At 43.6% G+C, this 20,076-nt stretch overlaps 1 long non-coding RNA gene across 1 annotated transcript, besides 1 other annotated feature; it reads right to left on the bottom strand.

Annotated features, from left to right (window-relative positions):
• Positions 1-2,123: 2,123 nt before the first annotated feature.
• On the bottom strand, positions 2,124-16,165 carry LOC105373937 (uncharacterized). The gene is made up of 4 exons (XR_924000.3): positions 16,065-16,165; positions 8,244-8,374; positions 3,077-3,161; positions 2,124-2,522 (listed from the first exon to the last, which is right to left on the bottom strand). It is a non-coding gene; the product is annotated as an uncharacterized LOC105373937 (long non-coding RNA).
• Positions 14,408-14,971: an enhancer, noted in NCBI's record as "H3K27ac-H3K4me1 hESC enhancer chr2:235810653-235811216 (GRCh37/hg19 assembly coordinates)". NCBI's record gives its function as "activates a minimal SCP1, AML or CMV promoter by ChIP-STARR-seq in primed H9 embryonic stem cells {active_cell/tissue: H9 hESC(primed)}" and the evidence as "EXISTENCE:reporter gene assay evidence [ECO:0000049][PMID:30033119]".
• Positions 16,166-20,076: the final 3,911 nt, after the last annotated feature.

Raw genomic sequence — 20,076 nt, 5'->3', positions numbered from 1 at the left:
CTTCGTGTGGCTCCAGGACAGGACCTGGCAGTGCCCTGCCTCACATGCCCTCCCCATCTCACACTCATGCCTCATATTTCTTGTCTCTTGCCTCTGGGCCTCCCTGTTGTCACCTAGTGGTGACACCCCACCAGTGCCGTGCATCCCCAGTCCCAAAATTCTGGGGCATCAAGGCTCTGGTGAGTGAGCTTTGACCAACAGAGGAGGGAAGCTGGAACATCCGTTCTTCTCCATTCCACTCTCGGGGAGGGCGGTTGGACTTGCAGATACTTCTTTAAGTCTCTCTAAACCTGTCTGAGAGACAGCAGTCAACTTGTTCTGAAGCTGTGGGCCGCGATGATGGCTCTTTCACCCACTCTCCTCCTTGCCCAGTTAAATCTAGGCCTATAAATACTCAATAAAGATTTGCACATGAATAACTTTTTTTAAAGGATATTATTTATTTATTTTTTTCTTCAATTTTTATTTTAAGTTCAGGGTACATGTACAGGATGTGAATGTTTCTTACATAGGAAAATGTGTGCCATGGCGGTTTGCTGCACAGGTCAACCCAACACCCAGGTATTAAGCCAGCATCCATTGGCTGTTCTTCCTGATGCTCTCTCTTCCCTGAAACTGCTCCACCTCTGACAGGCCCCAGAGTGTGTTGTTCCCCACATGTGTCCGTGTTCTGGTCGTTCAGCACCCACTTATAAGTAAGAACATGTGGTGTTTGGTTTTCTGTCCCTGTGTTAGTTTGCTGAGGATAACAGCTTCTAGCTCCATTCATGTTCCTGCAAAGGACATGATCTCGTTCTTTTTTATGGCTGCATAGTATTCCATGGTGTATATGTACCACATTTTCTTTATCCAGTCTATCACTGATGGGCATTTAGGTTGATTCCATGTCTTTGCTATTGTGAATAGTGCTGCAACGAATATATGTGTGCATATATCTTTATAATAGAATGATTTATATTCCTTTGAGTATATACCCAGTAATGGGATTGCTGGGTCAAATTATATTTCTGATTCCTTGAGGAATCACCACACTGTCTTCCACGATGGTTGAACTAATTTACTCTCCCACCAACAGTGTAAAAGCGTTCATTTTTTCCCCATTATATAACCTCACCGGCATCTGTTGTTTTTTGACTTTTTAATAATAGTCATTCTGACTGGTGTGAGGTGGTATCTCACTGTGGTTTTGTTTGCATTTCTCTAAAGATCAGTGATGTTGAGCTTTTTTTCATCTGTTTGTTGGCCACATGGTATGTCTTCTTTAGAGAAGTGTCTGTTCATGTCCTTTGCTTTTTCACCCAGTCCCCTCCTTGCTCAGTTAAATCTAGGCCTATAAATACTCAACAAAGATTTGCAAATGAATAACTTTTTAAAATTTCATAGACATTTAGAACATTTCACTGCAGTACAGAAATATATATATATATCTGAATATATGTTTATCTACTCATATATACATATGCATAAATTCAAAACTGATGGACTTTAGCTTGTCAATTTAGTGATCTCTCCTTTTTTTCAAATTAAAATTTGCAAGAACTGTCACATTTGTTGATTATTTGATTGACTAATGATAATTCTGGGGTAGGGATGATTGTTCTTTCTACTGTAGGATAATTTCATTAAAATCTCTTTGGGTTTGGGAGGCTGAGATGGGCGGATCACGAGGTCAGGAGATCAAGACCATCCTGGCCAACATGGTGAAATCCCACCTCTACTAAAAATACAAATTAGCTGGGCATGGAGCCGCATGCCAGTAATCCCAGCTACTTGGGAGGCTGAGGCAGGAGAATCACTTAAACCTGGGAGGCGGAGGTTGCAGTGAGCCAAGATCGCACTCCAGCCTGGCGACAGAGCTAGACTCCGTCTCAAAAATAAAAAATAAAAATAAACAAAATAAAAATCTCTCTGGGGACTACATTGTACCTGACTTCAGTTGCAGCCAGGCTCTGCCTGTGCAGTCCCGCAGCCATGCCTCTCCTCCTTACATTCCCTTCATAAGTGATCAAAGTCCCACTAAAGTTCCTGGCAGTCCTCAGCTGCTGGAGTAGCTGTCCCTCAAAGAGGGACAAGACCAGAATCTGGCTGTTGGGGAGTGCCCTGCACTCATGTTTAGTCATGGGTAAACAGATATTTTTGCTCTTTATTTAGGAAACTGTATTTTAACTCAATTTTGATGTTTTGGATTCATCCTTTAGGATAAGACAGGATGTTACATTTGTATTAGATTGTAAGCCACACATTCAAAGATAAATCTAGTTGGATTTGATGGTGTGGAACCACAGGAATCAGGGCTACAATAATTCACCTTCATCCCCCCAGAGGGGTAACAGAGTCAGAGAGGGGCGCAGACTTGCCCACGGCTGCCTGCACGGCCACTGCCAGCCCCGGGACGGGAGCCCAGTCTTCAATCAACAGTTCAGTTCTTCTGTCACAAAGGCTGCCTCTTTTGACTTTGTTTATGTTCTAGGACACATACACAGTGCCTTGCATCTTTTCAATGGATTGAATGCTCTGTTGTGCTAAAAGAGAATATTTAAAAGAGAGTTTAATCATAATTCTCAGGCTAATATAAAATAAACACATGTCAAGGATTTTCTTTAACCCATTAACGAATAAGGGAACCAGTAAGATGTCACAACTTGCTCCAAGGAGAATTCAAAGTACCACAGGCATAAAGGCAGAAAAGAGATGCAGAAATGATTCTCCAGCTGGGTGCCGTGGCTCACGCCTGTAATCTCAGCACTTTGGGAGGCTGAGGTGGGAGGATCACTTGAGGCCAGGAGTTTGAGACCAGCCTGGCCAATACGGTGAAACCCCGTCTCTTCTAAAAATACAAAAATTAGCCAAGCCTGGTGGCACATGCCTGGAGTCCCAGCTACTTGAAAGGCTAAGGCAGGAGAATCACTTGATTAGAGAGTCAAAGGTTGCAGTGAGCCGAGATCATGCCACTGCACTCCAGCCTGGGTGACAGAGCGAGACTCTGTCTCAAAAAAAGAAAAAAAAAAAAGCGATGATTCTCCAGATACAGTTGACCCTTGAACGACATGGATTTAAACTGCACAGGTCCACTTACACGTAATTTTTTTCCAGTAAACATGTTGGAAACATTTTTTGGAGATTTTTGATAATTTGAAAAACTTGTAGATGAATGGCATAGCCTACAAATATAGAAAAAATTAAGAAAAAGTTAGGTATGTCATGAATACATAAAGCATATGTAGATACTAGTCTATTATACCATTTACTACCATAAAGTATACACAAATCCTTTACAGAAAGTTAAAATTTATCAAAACATACACACAAGCACAGATTGTATATGGCACCATTCACAGTTGAGAAAAAGGTGAACAAATGTAATGATGCAGCATGAAGTCATAACTGCATGAAATTAACTGCAACCCTTGCTGTACCACTGTGACAGGCTTGTAGCCACCTCCTGTTGCTATTGAGGTGAGCTCAAGTGTTGCCAGTATCTGCTTAAAATGCCATATGACACTTATCTCCCTGTGAGCAGTTCGTTTCTGCAGTAAATTGCACATCACAGTAAAAAGCGATCTCTCGTGGTGCTCGTGGAGTTTACACTGTGGTTAGTGCAATACCATAAACCTTGAATAACACCATGGGACCCATATGAAGGGCCACTAGGAATGCTGGAAGTGCTCCCAAGAAGCAGAGATCAGTCATGACTTTACAAGAAGAAGTTGAATTGCTCGGTATGTACCATAGACTGAGGTCTGCAGCTGCAGCTGCCTGCTGTTTCAGACAGCTGATTTACCTTGTAAACAGACAAAGGAAGCTTATGGTATCAATACACACAGTACGGCACTGTAAATGTATTTTCTCTTCCATACAATTTTCTTAATAATGCCTTTTCTTTTCTCCAGCTTACCTTATTGGAAGAATCCAGTACATAATACATGTAAAATACAAAATATGTGTTAATCAACTGTTTATGCTCTTGGTAAGGCTTCCAGTCAACAGTTAGACTATTAGTAGTTAAGCTTTGTGGGAGTCAAAAGTTATACATGGATTTTTCAACTGGGGAGAGGGTCGGCGTCCCTAACCCCAGGTTGTTCAGTAGTGAACTGTAGATGCAAAATGGGTGGCTAATAATTGCATTCCACCAGATACAACAAATTTGCATCTATCTGGGCAAAACTAATTTGTATCCGTTTTCTAATTAAAGAGTTGTAAAATAGCTCAGAGATTGTTAATGGCCATCCCCAGAAAGAACACACAGTAATCCTTTGTTTTCTATTTTGACGAATTTCAAAGGCTTACAGCTTTTTCTAACAGTAGTAGGAACTGTTAGCCATGATTTAAGAAGTGAGAATCTGAAGTAAGAGTTTTTTAAACAAAAGTCTCCTTGTGGTTATATTCTCTTGCTGTATGTACTTATTCACATGTCTAGAAATCTGATTTCAAAAGCCATCCAGTTTGGAGAGAAATCCAGTGTTTAATGTTACATCTTTATCCCAGTTTTTACAATAGTGGTTTTTACAATCACGTTGGTTCAAATTAAATGATTTTATAGCCTGGGTGGAATGCCTTTCTATTAATCGTAATTTTCTTTTTCTTTTTCTTTTTTTTTTTGAGATGGAGTCTCTCTCTGTCACCCAGGCTGGAGTGCAGTGGTGTGATCTTGGCTCACTGCAACCTCTGCCTCTTTGGTTCATGCAATTCTCCTGCCTTAGCCTCCTGAGTAGCTGGGATTACAGGCGTGCACCACCACGTCTGGCTAATTTTTGTATTTTTAGTAGAGATAGTGTTTCACCATGTTAGTCAGGCTGGTCTCGAACTCCTGACCTCGTGATCTGCCCACCTCGGCCTCCCAGAGTGCTAGGATTACAGAGGTAAGTCACTGCACCTGGCCTTAATGGTAATTCTCTATGTCAGTTCTCACCTCAAATGTAGCCCAGCCTTAAAGGCCCTCTTCTTCCTTTAGGTGGGGCCACAAGGACATTTATTTCTCCCCTTCCTTCTTGGACAAATGCTTAAACCAGCCCAACCCCGAAAGGCTTGGCAAGGTTTCCCCTCTGCAACCAGCCCAACTCTGACTAGGTGGTTCATTAGAAATAAATCTCCTCTTGTTTCTGAGCCTTTGAGCAGGTACAGGTAATTCTGCCTAGACCTTGGCCTTTGTCCTTGTTTCCATCCCTGCAATGGGTCCAGTGGCCCTGTCTCACTGGGGCTTGGTGTCTCCATCCCAGGGACCCAAATCTAACAAATCTCTGTGCTGTCCTCCCTCCACCCAGACCAGTGTTAACTTCCTGCCTGATGTCTGACCATTTCCGTCCCACATCAGTGCCCCCTGCACCATCTGGCCTTGGAATTCCTGAGCCATGTCTGGGTGTTTTTGTGCATCCCTTGAACATGGGGGCTCCCACTGGACTCAGCATCTCTGTAAGTTCCCCCAGCATCTGCCTTGCCCCAGTGCAGAGTCTAGTGCCAAAGCCAAGTCCTCTCTCCAGCCAAACCGGCCCTTCCTGCCAGAAGCCTGAGGCTGGGAGTGAGTCATGGGATAATGTGGAAGATCAGTTAGCATTTTAAGAGCTCACAAATGTATTCTGCTTCAGACAGCATCATAAAAACCAAGTGGTTGGCTAGGCACAGTGGCTCACGCCTGTAATCCCAGCACTTAGGGAGGCTGAGGCAGGTGGATCACTTGTCAGGAGTTCAAGACCAGCCTGGCCAATGTGATGAAACCCCATCTCTACTAAAAATACACAAATTAGCTGGGGGTGGTGGCACGCACCTGTAATCCCAGCTACTAGGGAGGCCGACATCGTGCCACTGCACTCCAGCCTGGGCGACAGAGCGAGACTTGGTAATAAAAAACAAACAAACAAATGAAAAACCCCAAATAGTCTAGGTGAACACAATAATTAACACTAAACAGACACTTGGCAAGCACCGACTATGTCCCAGCATGCTTAGGTTTATTATCTTTAACCCTTAGAACATGGAAGTGTTAGGTATGGTGTGAATTTAGACTAACTGTGTAAGTACAGCCATGCATGAGCACCAGCAGGGTGACCCAAGGTGAAGCAGCATCTCCTGGTTGTTTTCAAATAAAATTTTAATAAAATTTATAAATTTAAAGTTATTGGTTTATCCAGGTGTATTAGTGGTCTGGCTATGTATACTGTGTCAACTTTTTCATGAAAATGCTTTGGTCATTCTAGTTCAGTGGCAGAAAGCACAGTGCAAAACGGCAACAATGATATTAGCGACAAAACCTTGGGATGGGTCGTTAGAGAAGATCAAGAAACAGATGAAAGTTGGCTTTCCTAAGGCCTTAGTGTCTGCATGTCTTAGAACGGCCAAAGGACGCTGACACTCTATCTGTGAAGCTCACAGGAGGCAGAGGACAATGACCTTGGCAGGAGTTAGGTGTCCCCTGAGGTATTTTAGAATCAAGTCTCTCCAGGGGCTGCTATTCCAGACTCAAGAAGGATACAAATTTGCACTCTTCCTGGTGCTTTTAGATAGTGCTTATTTAGCAAAATCAGATACATTTTCAGATGCAGAAATTATGCTTTGGAGAAACTCTTCAAGGCAGCTGGTGGTTAACACCTTGGGTGAGCTCATCCAGGAAGTAGATGGTTATTCATGGGTGGGAGACCCAGGAGAGTAGCAGAGTGCAAGAATCCACTGGATTGATGGAGAATAGTCTCTTTATTAAAAAAAAAATGGAGCATTGCAATTATTTCAGTTTAGTTAAATCTAGAATAAAATTAGTGCCACTTACTTTAGCATAGTATTCTAATGAGAACGTGGCTATGGAAAGGATGGATTAGAGAAGTGTTATAACTTGTATCTGGGCTTCTATCATTTAATACATAAACCTACAATATGGTGGCAAGCCTACCGCAGCCTTGGGTGGCTTCCAAGGCTTGGCTCTTGTCATATTTACTCCCAATAATGACTTATGAAGTCTATTGTTAAATAGAAAGATGTTTCGCACAGTTAATGGCAAATAAAAACAAGTTAATTTTAGCCTCACTGGCCATTGGTCCTGAACTTCTAGTTAAATGCTTACTGCTAGTTTGTTAATCATGGTAACAGAAAATTTTTAGCTATGTATTTTATGAAAGAAGAAATGATGTTTTAGACATCCAGTTTAATACATCTAAGCAAAAGCTGGTGATTTTAATTTTTGTGCTAGTAGAAGAAATGGTTACTTAAAACAGCTTCAAATCCCTGATTATTGAATGATCATGGAATCTGCATTTGGCAAAGCCATCATTTTACAGAGTCAGCTCTTTCAGAGGTCACTGGCAAATGAGAAAAAAGACTGTCGGGTTTCAGACAAGTGCCCCTGAAGGTGCCCTGCACAGAGGTTGGCACAAAATGGGCCCACAGAGCAACAGGGGTAATAGTTATCCTCTGTCCTCCTCTCACGTAACAAAATGCCCTCGTCCAAAGCAAAGCACAGCCTCTCTTTTCCTGCATCTCCTGACTCCCAAGGTGAATCTGCAAGTCCATCACCTCCTGGATCTCTCTGTGACAGCGACGGTGATGACCCCACATGGCTTCCTGAAAGTGGATCTTCGGGGCCTTGGCTCTCCTCCCAATCCCCCTCCCTCATGGACTCCCATTCCTGTTTCTCCTAAACTTGCAAACACTAGGCCTGCCACCTGCCAGGAAATCCATCCAGGCCCTTTCCCTGGAAGCCAAGTGCTACTAATAAGTTTGAATGACTTTTTTGGGGCCATCTATCGTTTTTCTTTTGTCAGTTGCTTGGTGTCATTATCTTTCAATTTTCCTTTAGGGATAATTCTAAAAACCTTATTTTTTTTTGTTTTTGTTTTGTTTTGTTTTGTTTTCACACAGTAGTGGCACTATGGTTTGAATCTTTGGTTTGTCATGTCTGTTGCAGATGTATTTTTGCTTTTAAATTTTATTCATGGAATTTTTGTTTTGTTTTGTTTGCTTTATAAATAAGTGATTTTTGAATGTTGTCAAAGCCAATGCTCACTTGGGGATTGGGTGTGCCTGGCCCTGGTACAGTGGGATCTGTATCCTAAACAACAACTGTTGTGACTGAAACTATTTGGCTTCCTGGAAAAAAAATCCTCACCTCTTGCTCGACATCCTCAAAACAAAAGGTGATCATGTCCCAACACTAGGGCAGTGTATATGCTGTGCTGCGGCCGAGGCTAAAGGGGTACGTGGCTCTGGGGTGGAGAACCGGGAGACAGAGGTGCTTCGATGAGAAGAAAGACATTGATTACCTGGTCAATCCCTGTCTCATGGCAGGTACGCGTTCAATCAGTTCTTGCATGCTCAAGCACAATCTCTTGGTTGGGTTGCATGTCTGTTTTCTTGCTTCTTTGCCTGGATTCAAATTCTTGAATCCGGAGATCTTTTTAGATAGGAATATTTATAAGGATTAAAATAATTTCTGTACAAACAATATTTTATATATACACACATACATTATTCTCTCTATAAGATTTATACCATGGCCAGGTGCGGTGTCAAGCCTGTAATCCCAGAACTTTGGGAGGCCAAGGCTGGTGGATCACCTGAGGTCAGGAGTTTGAGACCAGCCTGGCAAACATGGCGAAACCCCTTCTCCACTAAAAATACAAAAATTAGCCCGGCATGGTGGCACACGCTTGTAATCCCAGCTACTGGGCAGGCCAAGGTGGAAGAATTGCTTGAACCTGGTAGGTGGAGGTTGCAGTGAGCCAAGGTCACACAACTGCACTGCAGCCTGGGTGACAAGAGCTAAATTACATCTAAAAAAAAAAAAAAGATTAATACCATTTCTATATATATAGTATTTTGTACACATATATATCTAAACACAACAGGTGTGAAGCATGAGATTCCCTTTCTTCATATTGGCAACAAGGACTGTGATTGCTAGGATTGGAAATAGTATCATTTTTATTATTTAGTAAGATTTAATTAACAAAAATAAATTTAAAATTTTATCTTTGCACAAAAAATTTTGATTGAAAATTCTGATAGCCACTAATTAAAACTTTGCCTTTTAATTGTAATAAGTTATCACAGATATTTTAGAAGAAAAATATTTTTCAAAAACTAATTAAAATAATTTTAGATTTTTTTTTTTTTTGACAGAGTCTTGCTCTGTTGCCCAGGCTGGAGTGCGGTGGCATGATCTTGGCTCACTGCAAGCTCTGCCTCCCGGGTTCACGCCATTCTCTTACAATAATTTTAGATTTTAATATTCATTCAATGTATATTTTTGAAGAAGAAAATTCAAATTTTGTACACTTAAAATGCCATTAAGTTTTGCTTTATAATCCTTTGGATTGTTAGAGTCAATGGAATATATAAATTATGTTAAAAAATTTAAAATAATGTAGTGATTTTTACTGAAGTGAAGGCAAGAAAATAATTTTTTTTTTTTTTTGAAACAGAGTCTTGCTCTGTCATCCAGGCTGGAGTGCAATGTCGCCAGCTCGGCTCACTGCAACCTCCACCTCCCAGGTTCAAACGATTCTCCTGCCTCAGCCTCCCGAGTAGCCGGGACTACAGGTAAGCGCCACTACACCCAGCTAATTTTTTGTATTTTTAGTAGAGGCGGGATTTCACCATGTTAACCAGGATGGTCTCCATCTCCTGACCTCGTGATCCATCCACCTCAGCCTCCCAAAGTGCTGGGATTACAGGCATGAGCCACCGCACCCAACCCGAAAGTAATTTGTATGAATGAAATATAACATTTTATTTGTTATTTATGCTTGTTTTACGACTTGCCCACATATTGATGGCTCAGCAACAGAATACCCAAACACAACACAATCATTATGACATGCAGTCTTTGATATTTTGCTAACTTCCAATCTTAAAAAGCATAGCTTTCTATGAATTTCATGTTTTTGTTTTATGACAGTATAGAGAAGGATAAAACATCTTTAATTTAACAATCTGTTAGCTTGATTTATAATTTCAGATCCTTACACACGTGTTATATGAGCTACCGTTTCCACCCTAGGTTGCTGGCCTTGTCCCTGTCTGGCTGCCCTGGTCAAAACTCTCCTGTTGACATGCGTGTCTTTTGTGTTGTACTTAGAAGTCCCTATTTGGCCTTGATTTAATACAAATCTTTCTGTTGTTTTCTTTCCTATTATTTTCATGACTTTGTTTTATATATTAAAATCATTAATCCATCTGGAACCCATTTTCATTCAAGATAAAAAAAAAAAACAAACTTAACTCTGTGTCTGAAACTCAGCCAATTATGCAAACATGATTTGCTGGAAAATCTCTCATTTTCTAACTAGTTTGTAATTTTGCCTTTATAACACGTTACATTTATTTATCACATTGTGTGTCTGTGTGGTTTTAATTTTGTTTGTTTCAGGGCCAATTGTACTGTTTTTATTGCTGTTGTTTTTTCAGTCGTTGTTTTGTTTTGCTTTATGATAACCCTTAGGGTATGTCTTACCTCATTATCTTTATTTTTAAAAAATTGATCAGGTATTCTTGAGAATATACTGTCCAGATATACTTTAGAATGTTTGGCAAGGTAAATAAAATTTTCTTCTTTGTTAAACGAGCAGAAAATGTTTATGAAACTTTGGAGAAAAAAGAGAATGCCATGCAACAACTCACCTGCCTAGTGTACCATCATTTTCAAAAAATGTCTTCTTTTGGGCTTTGGAGATTATGAAAATACTTTTTTTTGCATATTCATGAGTTCTGTTCTGCTTTGCTTTCTAAGGAGAACCTGCTCAGGCAAGCTGGGAATCTACGTCCAGGATCTGGACCTGCCAACGAGGCTGAGGGACTCTAATCAGGCAGTGAGGCTGGCCTTAGCAATGCAGCTGGGCTTCGAAGGCCCGAGGTTCAGTGGGGAGAAATCCAGGCAAGAAGGGTGCTGGGAAGTGTGCCAGGCCCAGCTGAGCAAGGAGAGATTCTTTGAGGAAACCACTAATGGGAATGCGATGATGCCGTGTTTCCGAGGATGGCTGCTGCTAGGGAGGGAAGCAGGCTCGTACCTGGAGGGTCAAGGTGGGTCTCAGTCCTGGGAGGGAGATCGGGTGGGAAGGAAGCCAGAGTGAACTGTAGACTGGTGATTGAGGCCAAGATGGGGTCTATGGATGGAGCTGGGGGGAAAACACTGCAGAACTGGGGTACACAGGGAGCTCGGGGCTGCTGCAGGTGCTGGGATCCCAAGTTTGGGGCTTACCAAGGCCTGTAGACCTTTCTTTCTTCTTCCTTTCCCTTCCTTCCTTTGTTTATTTTTCTTTCTTTCTCTCTCGCTTCCTCCCTCCATTCCTCCCTTCTTCCTTTCTCTTTTCCCTTTCCCTCCCTCCCTTCCTTCCTTCCCTTTCCCTTCCTTCCTTCCTCCTCCCTCCTTCTCTCCCTTCTTTCTCTTCTTTTCTCTTCCTCCCTTCCTTCCTTCCTTCCGTCCTTCCTTCCTTCCTTCCCTCCCTCCCTCCCTCCCTTCCCCCCTTCCTTTCTCTCTCTCTTCCTCTTCCTTCCTTTCTTCCTTTCTTTTTTCTTTTGAGAGGGTCTCACTCTGTCACCCAGGCTGGAGTGCAATGGTGTAATCATAGCCCACTGTAGCCTCAACCTCCTGGTCTCAAGTGATCCTCCCACCTCAGCCTCCCTGGTAGCTAGTACAACAGGCATGCTCTGCCACACCTGGCTAATTTTTGATTTTTTGTAGAGATGGGGTCTCACTATGTTGCCCAGCTGGCCTTGAACTCCTGACCTCAAGTGATTCTCCTGCCTCAGCCTCCCAAAGTGCTGAGATTACAGGTGTGAGCCACTATGTCCAGCCCCTATTGGCTCTCTCTGAGTCCCCAGTGAGAGCTGAAATGTCATCCAACAACCATCAACCTATCACAGAATTATTTTCTTTTTCCAACCTTCTCTTTTAGGTATTGGAGATTATAAAAGTACATTTTTGCAAATTGATGCATTCCAGCCCTACTGGAAACATACTACTTTTGAGGTAGGCTGGCTAGAAAGGCTTTCAAGAGCCTGGCTGCAGAGCCTCTCCTCAGCTTCTGTCCATGGAGACCGGCGGGAGTTCAGGGACATCCTGCCTGAGCCTTGCACAATGGTCCTTTCTTGGTGGACCTGCTCATGTACAGCACAAAGTTTGTGTGACTTCTCAGCATCTGGTGGTTAAAGACATGAGAGGAGGGATTTTTCAAAATGCTGAACAGAAGCAGTTACCCAATTTGCAGGGCCTAGTGCAGAAGCTGTTAAGGAGTTTGAGACGGTGAGGGCAGAACATTAAACCTGACCCAAGCTGTCTGAGCCCATGCTCATGAGGCAGCTGTGACCCAATGGTGTATGATGTACAAAATAGATGTTCCAATAGTCAAACGTTTAACCCATACCTGAAGAATCATAATGGTCTTCGGAGAAACTGTTTGGATTGGGAGTCTCAAGATAAACACGTGGGGAATTTTTAGAGATCAGCATTGAGGGAGACAGGAGATTCGCTGCAGGAAATTGGAGGTGGAGAGAAAGGAAAAAGAGACCGAATACCCTGGGTGCTTGTGGGGTGCACACTGCGAGAGCCTCATTTATTTTTATTTTTATTTTTTGAGACAGAGTCTTACTTTGTCGCCCAGGCTGGAGTGCAGTGGCACGATCTTGGCTCACTGCAACCTTTGCCTCTCGGGTTCAAGCAATTCTCCTGCCTCCGCCTCCTGAGTAGCTGGGATTACAGACGTGCACCACCACGCCCAGCTAATTTTTGTATTTTTAGTAGAGATGGGGTTTCACCATGTTGGCCAAGCTGGTCTTGAACTCCTGACCTCATGATCCGCCCGCCTCAGCTTCCCAAAGTGCTGGGATTATAGGCGTGAGCCACCGTGCCCGGCCCACTTCTTCCCTGTAACCCAAGCCCCAGCAAGGAGAGAGGCGATGATATTGACAAACACTAGTAGCACCAACCTGGTAAACTATTGAGAGGACCAGAGGCAAAATATGCTACATGGTACAAAGAATAAAATAAAATCAAGGGAGCAAGAGAAATAAAGTTTGAAAATAATGAAAGAAAAGATTCAAATATTCACAGAGATAAAGCAGACTTTTTTTTTTTTTTTTTTTGAGACGGAGTCTCACTCTGTCGCCCAGGCTGGAGTGCAGTGGCGCAATCTCGGCTCACTGCAAGCTCCGCTTCCCGGGTTCACGCCATTCTCCTGCCTCAGCCTCCCGAGTAGCTGGGACTACAGGCACCCGCCACCGCGCCCGGCTAATTTTTTTTGTATTTTTAGTAGAGACGGGGTTTCACCTTGTTAGCCAGGATGGTCTCGATCTCCTGACCTCATGATCCACCCGCCTCGGCCTCCCAAAGTGCTGGGATTACAGGCGTGAGCCACCGCGCCCGGCCAAAGCAGACTTTAAAAAACAGAAATGAAGTAGGAATGACAAGACTGAAATATAAGGAGAAAAAGAAAGTAAAAAGTGAAAGAACAACATAAATGATTTTTAAATGATTGTGTCAGTTTTCCAGGGCACCCTTGATAAAGTACCACAAGCTGGGGGCTTCAACACAGAAACTTATTCTCTAACAGTTCTGGAAGCTGGAAGTCCGAGATCAATGTGTCAGGGGGCTCGTTTCTTCCCAGGGTTCTGAGGGCTCCCTCCCAGCTTCTGGTGGATTGCCTGCAATGTTCAGGGTTCTCTGACTTGTAGAAGCATCACCCCAACCTCAGCCTTCATGTTCACATGGCATTCTACCTGTGTGTCTCCGTGTCAGAATGTTCCCTTTTACAAGGACATCAGTCATATTGAATCGGGTGCCCACCCTACTCCAGGAGGACTTCATGTTAACGAATTGTGTTGGCAACGACCCTGTTTTCAAACCAGGCCACATTCTGAGATATTGAGGATAAGGACTTTAATAGACAAATTTGGCTGGGAGGGCACAATTCAATCTATAGCAATGATAAACAAGAGAAAGATAAAACCAGGACAGTAAAGAGATAATTTAGAAGAAAACACTGAGAGCTATATTCCATAAATATCACTACGCCATAACAGGCAATTATGAAATTTTAAAAATTAGGTACTCGGGAGGCTGAGGCAGGAAAATGGCGTGAGCCTGGGAGGCGGAGCTTGCAGTGAGCCGAGATTGCGCCACTGCACTCCTGCCTGGGCGACAGAGTGAGACTCCCTCTCAAAAAAAAAAAAAAAAAGTAGGATACTAAACAAATCTTTTACGTGAACAAAATAACAAGAACCAAAACCTTATGGAAAATATAACCAGAGCAATACAAACAAATGATTAAGACAGTGAGTGTCTTTGACACGGTGTGGCAGCTTCTTTGGGCTGAGACCCCAGGGAGTTTTATCCTCAGGGCAGAAAATCAAGAGGGGGTGGGTCAACCTAGACACCTGGGGCCTCCTCCCTCCTCCCTCTCCAGGTCAGAGGCTGACTTCTCAAGACTGACCGGCACACACCTGACAGTCCACCATCACCTGCCAGGCATGGGGCCCTCTCCTTGTTTCTTTTTAGATTGTGTGCCAGGGACAAAATAATATAATCAAGCCCCATGATGGCATACCGTCCACAATCTGTCCCCCATCATTCTGCCTGGGAAATTCTTGCCAACTCTGCTGGTTCTCTCCTTCCAACTTGGCTAGTGTGTGTGTGTGTGTGTGTGTGTGTGTGTGTGTGTGTGTGTGTGTGTGTGTGTTCCTGTGTGCATGCGTGCCTGGTGCATATATGTGTTTTCACAAACTGGCACATATACAAAGTAGTCAAGATGTACCCTGAAAGAGAATGCCTGCTTGGCTCTGCAGGAGAGGATTTACCAGTTCTGCTAGACTTGCAGGAAGGAGAAGAGAAGGCCAGGAGTTCTTCTGGGGAATTTCTTTCCTTCCTTCCTTCCTTCCTTCCTTCCTTCCTTCCTTCCTTCCTTCCTTCCTTCCTTCCTTCCGTCTTTCTTTCTTTTTCCTTCCTTCCTTCCTTCCTTCCTTCTTTTCTTTCTTTCTCTTTCTTTTCTTTCTTTCTTTCTTTCTTTCTTTCTTTCTTTCTTTCTTTCTTTCTCTCTCTCTCTTTCTCTCTCTTTCTTTCTTTCTTTCTTTCTTTCTTTCTTTCTTTCTTTCTTTTGCTTTCCTTCTTTCCTTCTTTCTTTCTTTTTTTTTTGGAGATGTAGTCTTCCTCTGTCACCCAGGCTAGAGTGCAATGGCACCATCTTGGCTCACTGCAACCTCTGCCTCCCGGGTTCAAGTGATTCTCCTGCCTCAGCCTCCCGAGTAGCTGGGCCTACAGGTGCCCACCACCGTGCCTGGTTAATTTTTGTATTTTTAGTTGAGACAGGGTTTCACCATGTTGGCCAGGATGGTCTCAAACTCCTGAGCTCAGGTGATCCGCCCAGCTCAGCCTCCCTAAATGCTGGGATTACAGGTGTGAGCCACTGCCCCTGGCCTGATGAGGTTTCTTTTTAAGGGGCTTATATGGTGGGGGGAGAATGGTGTTGTGAGAAGCAGTGGTTGGTTTTAGGGAGATACTAAGAAAGAGAAGGGGAAAAAGGTTATTAAAGCTTGCTTCTCTGTGCTTGTCTATTTTCTCTGTGGCATTTTTTGAGACACTGAAGAAAAGATCTGAATTCCTTTCACCTTTTAGTTTCCTTGGGAGTGACTCAAGCACTGGGACCAAGTGAGGTGCTTAAAAAAAAATACCGATTGCAATTTTCTCAGTATTATTGATTAATGTAAGTAGTGAACACCCACCAGCCGCAGGGGCTGGGTGAGGCAGTGAATGTGCGGGGAGAGGCTGAGTCCACATTCCAGCTGCTGCTCTTCCGGCCTCTGAACCATTTCCTACAACACTTTTGACACCAAATGTTGAGGGGCGTTTTTCCACACCAACCACTTCTCCAACACTGGCCGGTGCCCTTCAATTCAGTTCAATTCGCTTCAATTCTAACACGCAGCTCGCACAAGTTAACACACCCTCTTCACCTCAGACGCCAATCAGTCACAAATCTCAGCCTCTTGCACTTCTGGCCCGTCAGCTCTAAGTCAGGGATTCCCAAGACCCCCTCCTTAGTTTGATAATTTGTTAGAAGGGCTTATAGAACTCTGGAAAGTGCTTTCCTTACCATTACTGGTTCATTATAGAGGATACAGCTCATAAATGGTCAACGGAAGAGCTGCCCAGGGCGAGGGTGGGCAGGGGCGTGGAGCTTCTATGTCCCAGCCCTGAAGCAATTCGACAACCCAGAAGCCCTCAGAACCCCAGGGTTTAGGGTTTCTATGGAGGTTCCATTATGTACTCATGACTGATTAAATCATTGGCCACTGGCGATTAGCTCAATCCCCAGCCTCTCTTCCCTCCCTGGAGGGTGGGGAGTGGGACCCCAGGTTCCTAGCTTCTCATTGCATGGGTGGTTCCTCCGGTCTTGAAGCTATTTAGGGGGCATCAGTGTCATTTCATTAGCGTAAACCCAGGTAAGGTTGAAAGAGCTGATTTTTTTTTTTTCCTTTGAGATGGGGTCTTGCTCTGTCACCCAGGCTGGAGTGCAATGGCGCGATCCCAGCTCACTGAAACCTCTGCGTCCTGGGTTCAAGCGATCTTCTTGTCTCAGCCTCCTTAGTAGCTGGGATTACAGGCTCCCACCACAATGCCTGGCTAATTTTTGTATTTTTAGTAGAGATGGAGTTTCGCCATGCTGGCCAGGCTGGTCTCGAATTCCTGACCTCAAGTGATCCACCTGCCTTGGCCTCCCAAAGTGCTGGGATTACAGGCATGAGCCACCGCACCCAGCGGAAAGGGCTGATTCTGATAGCGAAAGATACTCCTCTAACCCCCATCACTTGGGAAATTCCCGACGGTTTTAGGAGCTCCATACCAGAAACTGGGGACAAAGACCAAATATATGTTTCTTAGTATATCACAATATCACATACCTAAGTGACTTCTTTCCAGAAAGTTCCAAACCTTCTCACTTCTTTTTCTCATTTGTGCTATGGGGACAATTAATAATAATATAAAGTTATTAATATAATATTAATATTATAATTATATTATTATTTTAATAATACCCCTTATTAAAAATAATCTTTTTTTTTTTGAGACAGAGTCTTGCTCTGTCACCAGGCTGGAGTGCAGTGGTGAGATCTCGGCTGACTGCAACCTCTACCTCCCAGTTTCAAGCAGTTCTCCTGCCTCAGCCTCCCGAGTAGCTGGGACTACAGGTGCCCGCCACCACACCCAGCTTATTTTTGTATTTCTAGTTGACAGTGGGTTTCACCATGTTGGCCAGGATGGTCTCCATCTCTTGACCTTGTGATCCACCCGCCTTGGCCTCCAAAGTGTTGGGATTACAGGTGTAAGCCACTGCGCCTGGCCAATAATTACTTTCTAATGGACTTCTCACCAACACATCACAGGTTCTCAACTGAAACATCGGTCGTTCCTACCTGGAGCAGTTAAAATGATGTCAAACATACCGATTATTTATAGCAGCCCCAGTCTATTCCTGACCTCACCTGGTGTGAATGACAGCTCTTCCCTGCACAGTGGGGGCCGTCTCCTTGTGACCACTGTGATACGTTCCACCTGAGTGGCTTCAACTAGGGAAACTCTAAACATTTAGTCTTGGTTAATTATTCTTCATCTCACCATCTCAAACTTTCAAATATTAGAGATGCTGTACCAAAGGTGGCTCAAGGACAAGTGTGGTGCAGGACAGAGGGTGGGACCTCATGTTACAAAGGCCCTGTGGGTGGCTGGAGACCCAGTGTACTGGTGCAACAGTACTTGCAGAGAAGTACATTGGCTTGTGGTTGAGACTGAAGGAACTCTTGTTAATGGCAGAGAAGACATTGGCTTGTGGTTGAGACTGAAGGAACTCTTGTTAATGGCAGAGAAGACATTGGCTTGTGGTTGAGACTGAAGGAACTCTTGTTAATGGCAGACATGGGAAGGCAATTAGAGGGAGCTGTGGTTTTGAGAGAAGGGAGAGGGAGAACAGAGTGGGAACAGGGTGAGAAATGATGGATTTCTGACATTTCTGGGCCATGGAACCTTGTGAATCCATAGCCCTTCTAGACCTCTTTGATCTCTCTGGTCCCTTCTCCTCCACACCATCTCCAATTTCAGGCTCTCACTGGGTCCTTTCAGAAGGAGAAGTAAGGAACACTCCAGGGGCAGAGGGAGCCAGCACAGAAGGAGTAAGAAATTCATTATCAAACAAAAGGACTAGAATACATTTGAATGAATAAAGAGGAAAGCTGTCCCTTTTTGTCCTGCTAGAATATTTGAAATGCAAAATAGCTGGTGTTTATACAAATTTACAGCATCTATTGTACGTCTTAGTCACCTATACCATTTGGAAAGCTGTGTGTTCTCTAACTAGAGGCAGGTCCGGAAGTAATTTATGATGAACCTGTGTGCACTTCTCCCTCCATTCCCACACCCCCTGCTCAAATTGGGGAGAGAGTGACTACACCTGCTTTTGAATCCTTCTCTCACCCGGCCCATCTGCCCGCTGGAAACCACTCTTGGGCTTGACCACACTTTTACAGGCTGGCCAGGGAAAGTCCTCGGGGATAACAGGCCGCAAAGACCCCTAGGTGATGTCAGTTGGGGGTGGGCTGGGTGTGGATCTGTGAAAGTTGTCAGAATCAATATAGAGTCACTTATGTCAAATCCTAATAAAATGAAGTCAGGAGGCCGTGAAGGGAAAGCCCTCATGTATATTTGCCTTATGAGAAGAACTACCACAAGAGACTCTCCCAAGCCACAACCCTGAAGTTAAGCCCACTTCTATGAGGACAGCTTTCCAATAACAGCCAGTTCTAACTGCAACCTTGCAAGTAGCCTTACGAAACTGCAAGCTTGCAGTCAGTGCCGCTCCTGTGAAGACCCTCTCCTAGTACTGGCCAGTGCACACTTTGCCACCTGTGATAAGCCCTGTAACCAATAAACTTTTGTTTCAAAACCTGCACATACTTCTCCTTTTTGCCTTTAAAGGTTTGCCTTTGCCTCAGCCTCTCCAGATATGCCTATGAGTAGTCATAGCATGCACATCTGGATTATAACCCTTCTGTCTGATCCTGAACAAACTCATTTCTTTGGAGGGCCACTCTGTTATTTTAGATTGACATATCTGTTAAGCAATCAGGATTTTCCTTCTAACTCATATTTTTTATCCTTAAAAGTAAATTTATTTCTGTTATGATGGTGCCAACATTTTTTATGGCTTCTTGTGGCAGCCACTGAAAGAAAATTTATTTTGAGTGTACTTGTCCTCTTTGGGAAATATATAAAAGTAAGATAATTTTTCCCCCAGTGAATTTATCTAATTTTCTCCAATACCCAAATGTTTCCAACTCATAGATGATTTCCAAAGATACCTGGTGATGTCCATCTTATTGCACACTGGAGACAGGAAGAAGATATTCAGAAAATAATTATATTTGAAATAACGTTTCCTCAGTCAATAACTGTCTAGTCATTGTCATCTCTTTTCCATATCACCTCTGGCCCCTTCGGCTCCCCTCTCCTTCTCTATCTCATTGCTGGGGCTGGCTGCAGAGCCTGTCAATGCCCATGCTGTGTGGATGCCCAAAGAATGCCCACATGGGGCTGCCCCCAAGAGTCAAGTCCACAAATGGCGTTTGGAGTCACAGGGATAAGAAATGGTTTGAAAACTTTGGCCTAAGAACGGTTAAGTGATATGGCATTTCCCTAAGAACACTTTTAGTTATAAAAGAATTAGAAATGTTTCTAGGTAAACGATTAGTTGAAATCACCTTGAAAAGAAGCAATCAGGTGTGAAAGTCAAAGTCACGGGCTCTGGAGATAGACAGGACTTGGTCAAAGCCTGGCATTCCCATTGCCCAGCTGAGTGACCCTTAGCAGGTCACACTCCTGCACCAAACCTGTTTTGCATCTTCAGAAACAAAGGTAACGACTATCAACCTATTGCATATTGGCTGATGTGAGGATGAAATGAGAATACATCGGGCTTCTGTGCCTGATACACAGGAAGCACTCCACAGAAGTGAGGTGCAATTGCTGTTTCTTGGCTTTAAGGAAATACAAGCGTGTTCTTTATTCCCCTGGTGAGACACGTGTCACGGAGATTCTCCTCCCATCCATTCGTG

Source organism: Homo sapiens, chromosome 2 (genome assembly GCF_000001405.40).
Source record: "Homo sapiens chromosome 2, GRCh38.p14 Primary Assembly".
Taxonomy (NCBI): Eukaryota; Metazoa; Chordata; class Mammalia; order Primates; family Hominidae; genus Homo; species Homo sapiens.
This window is presented reverse-complemented; position numbering and strand designations above follow the sequence as displayed.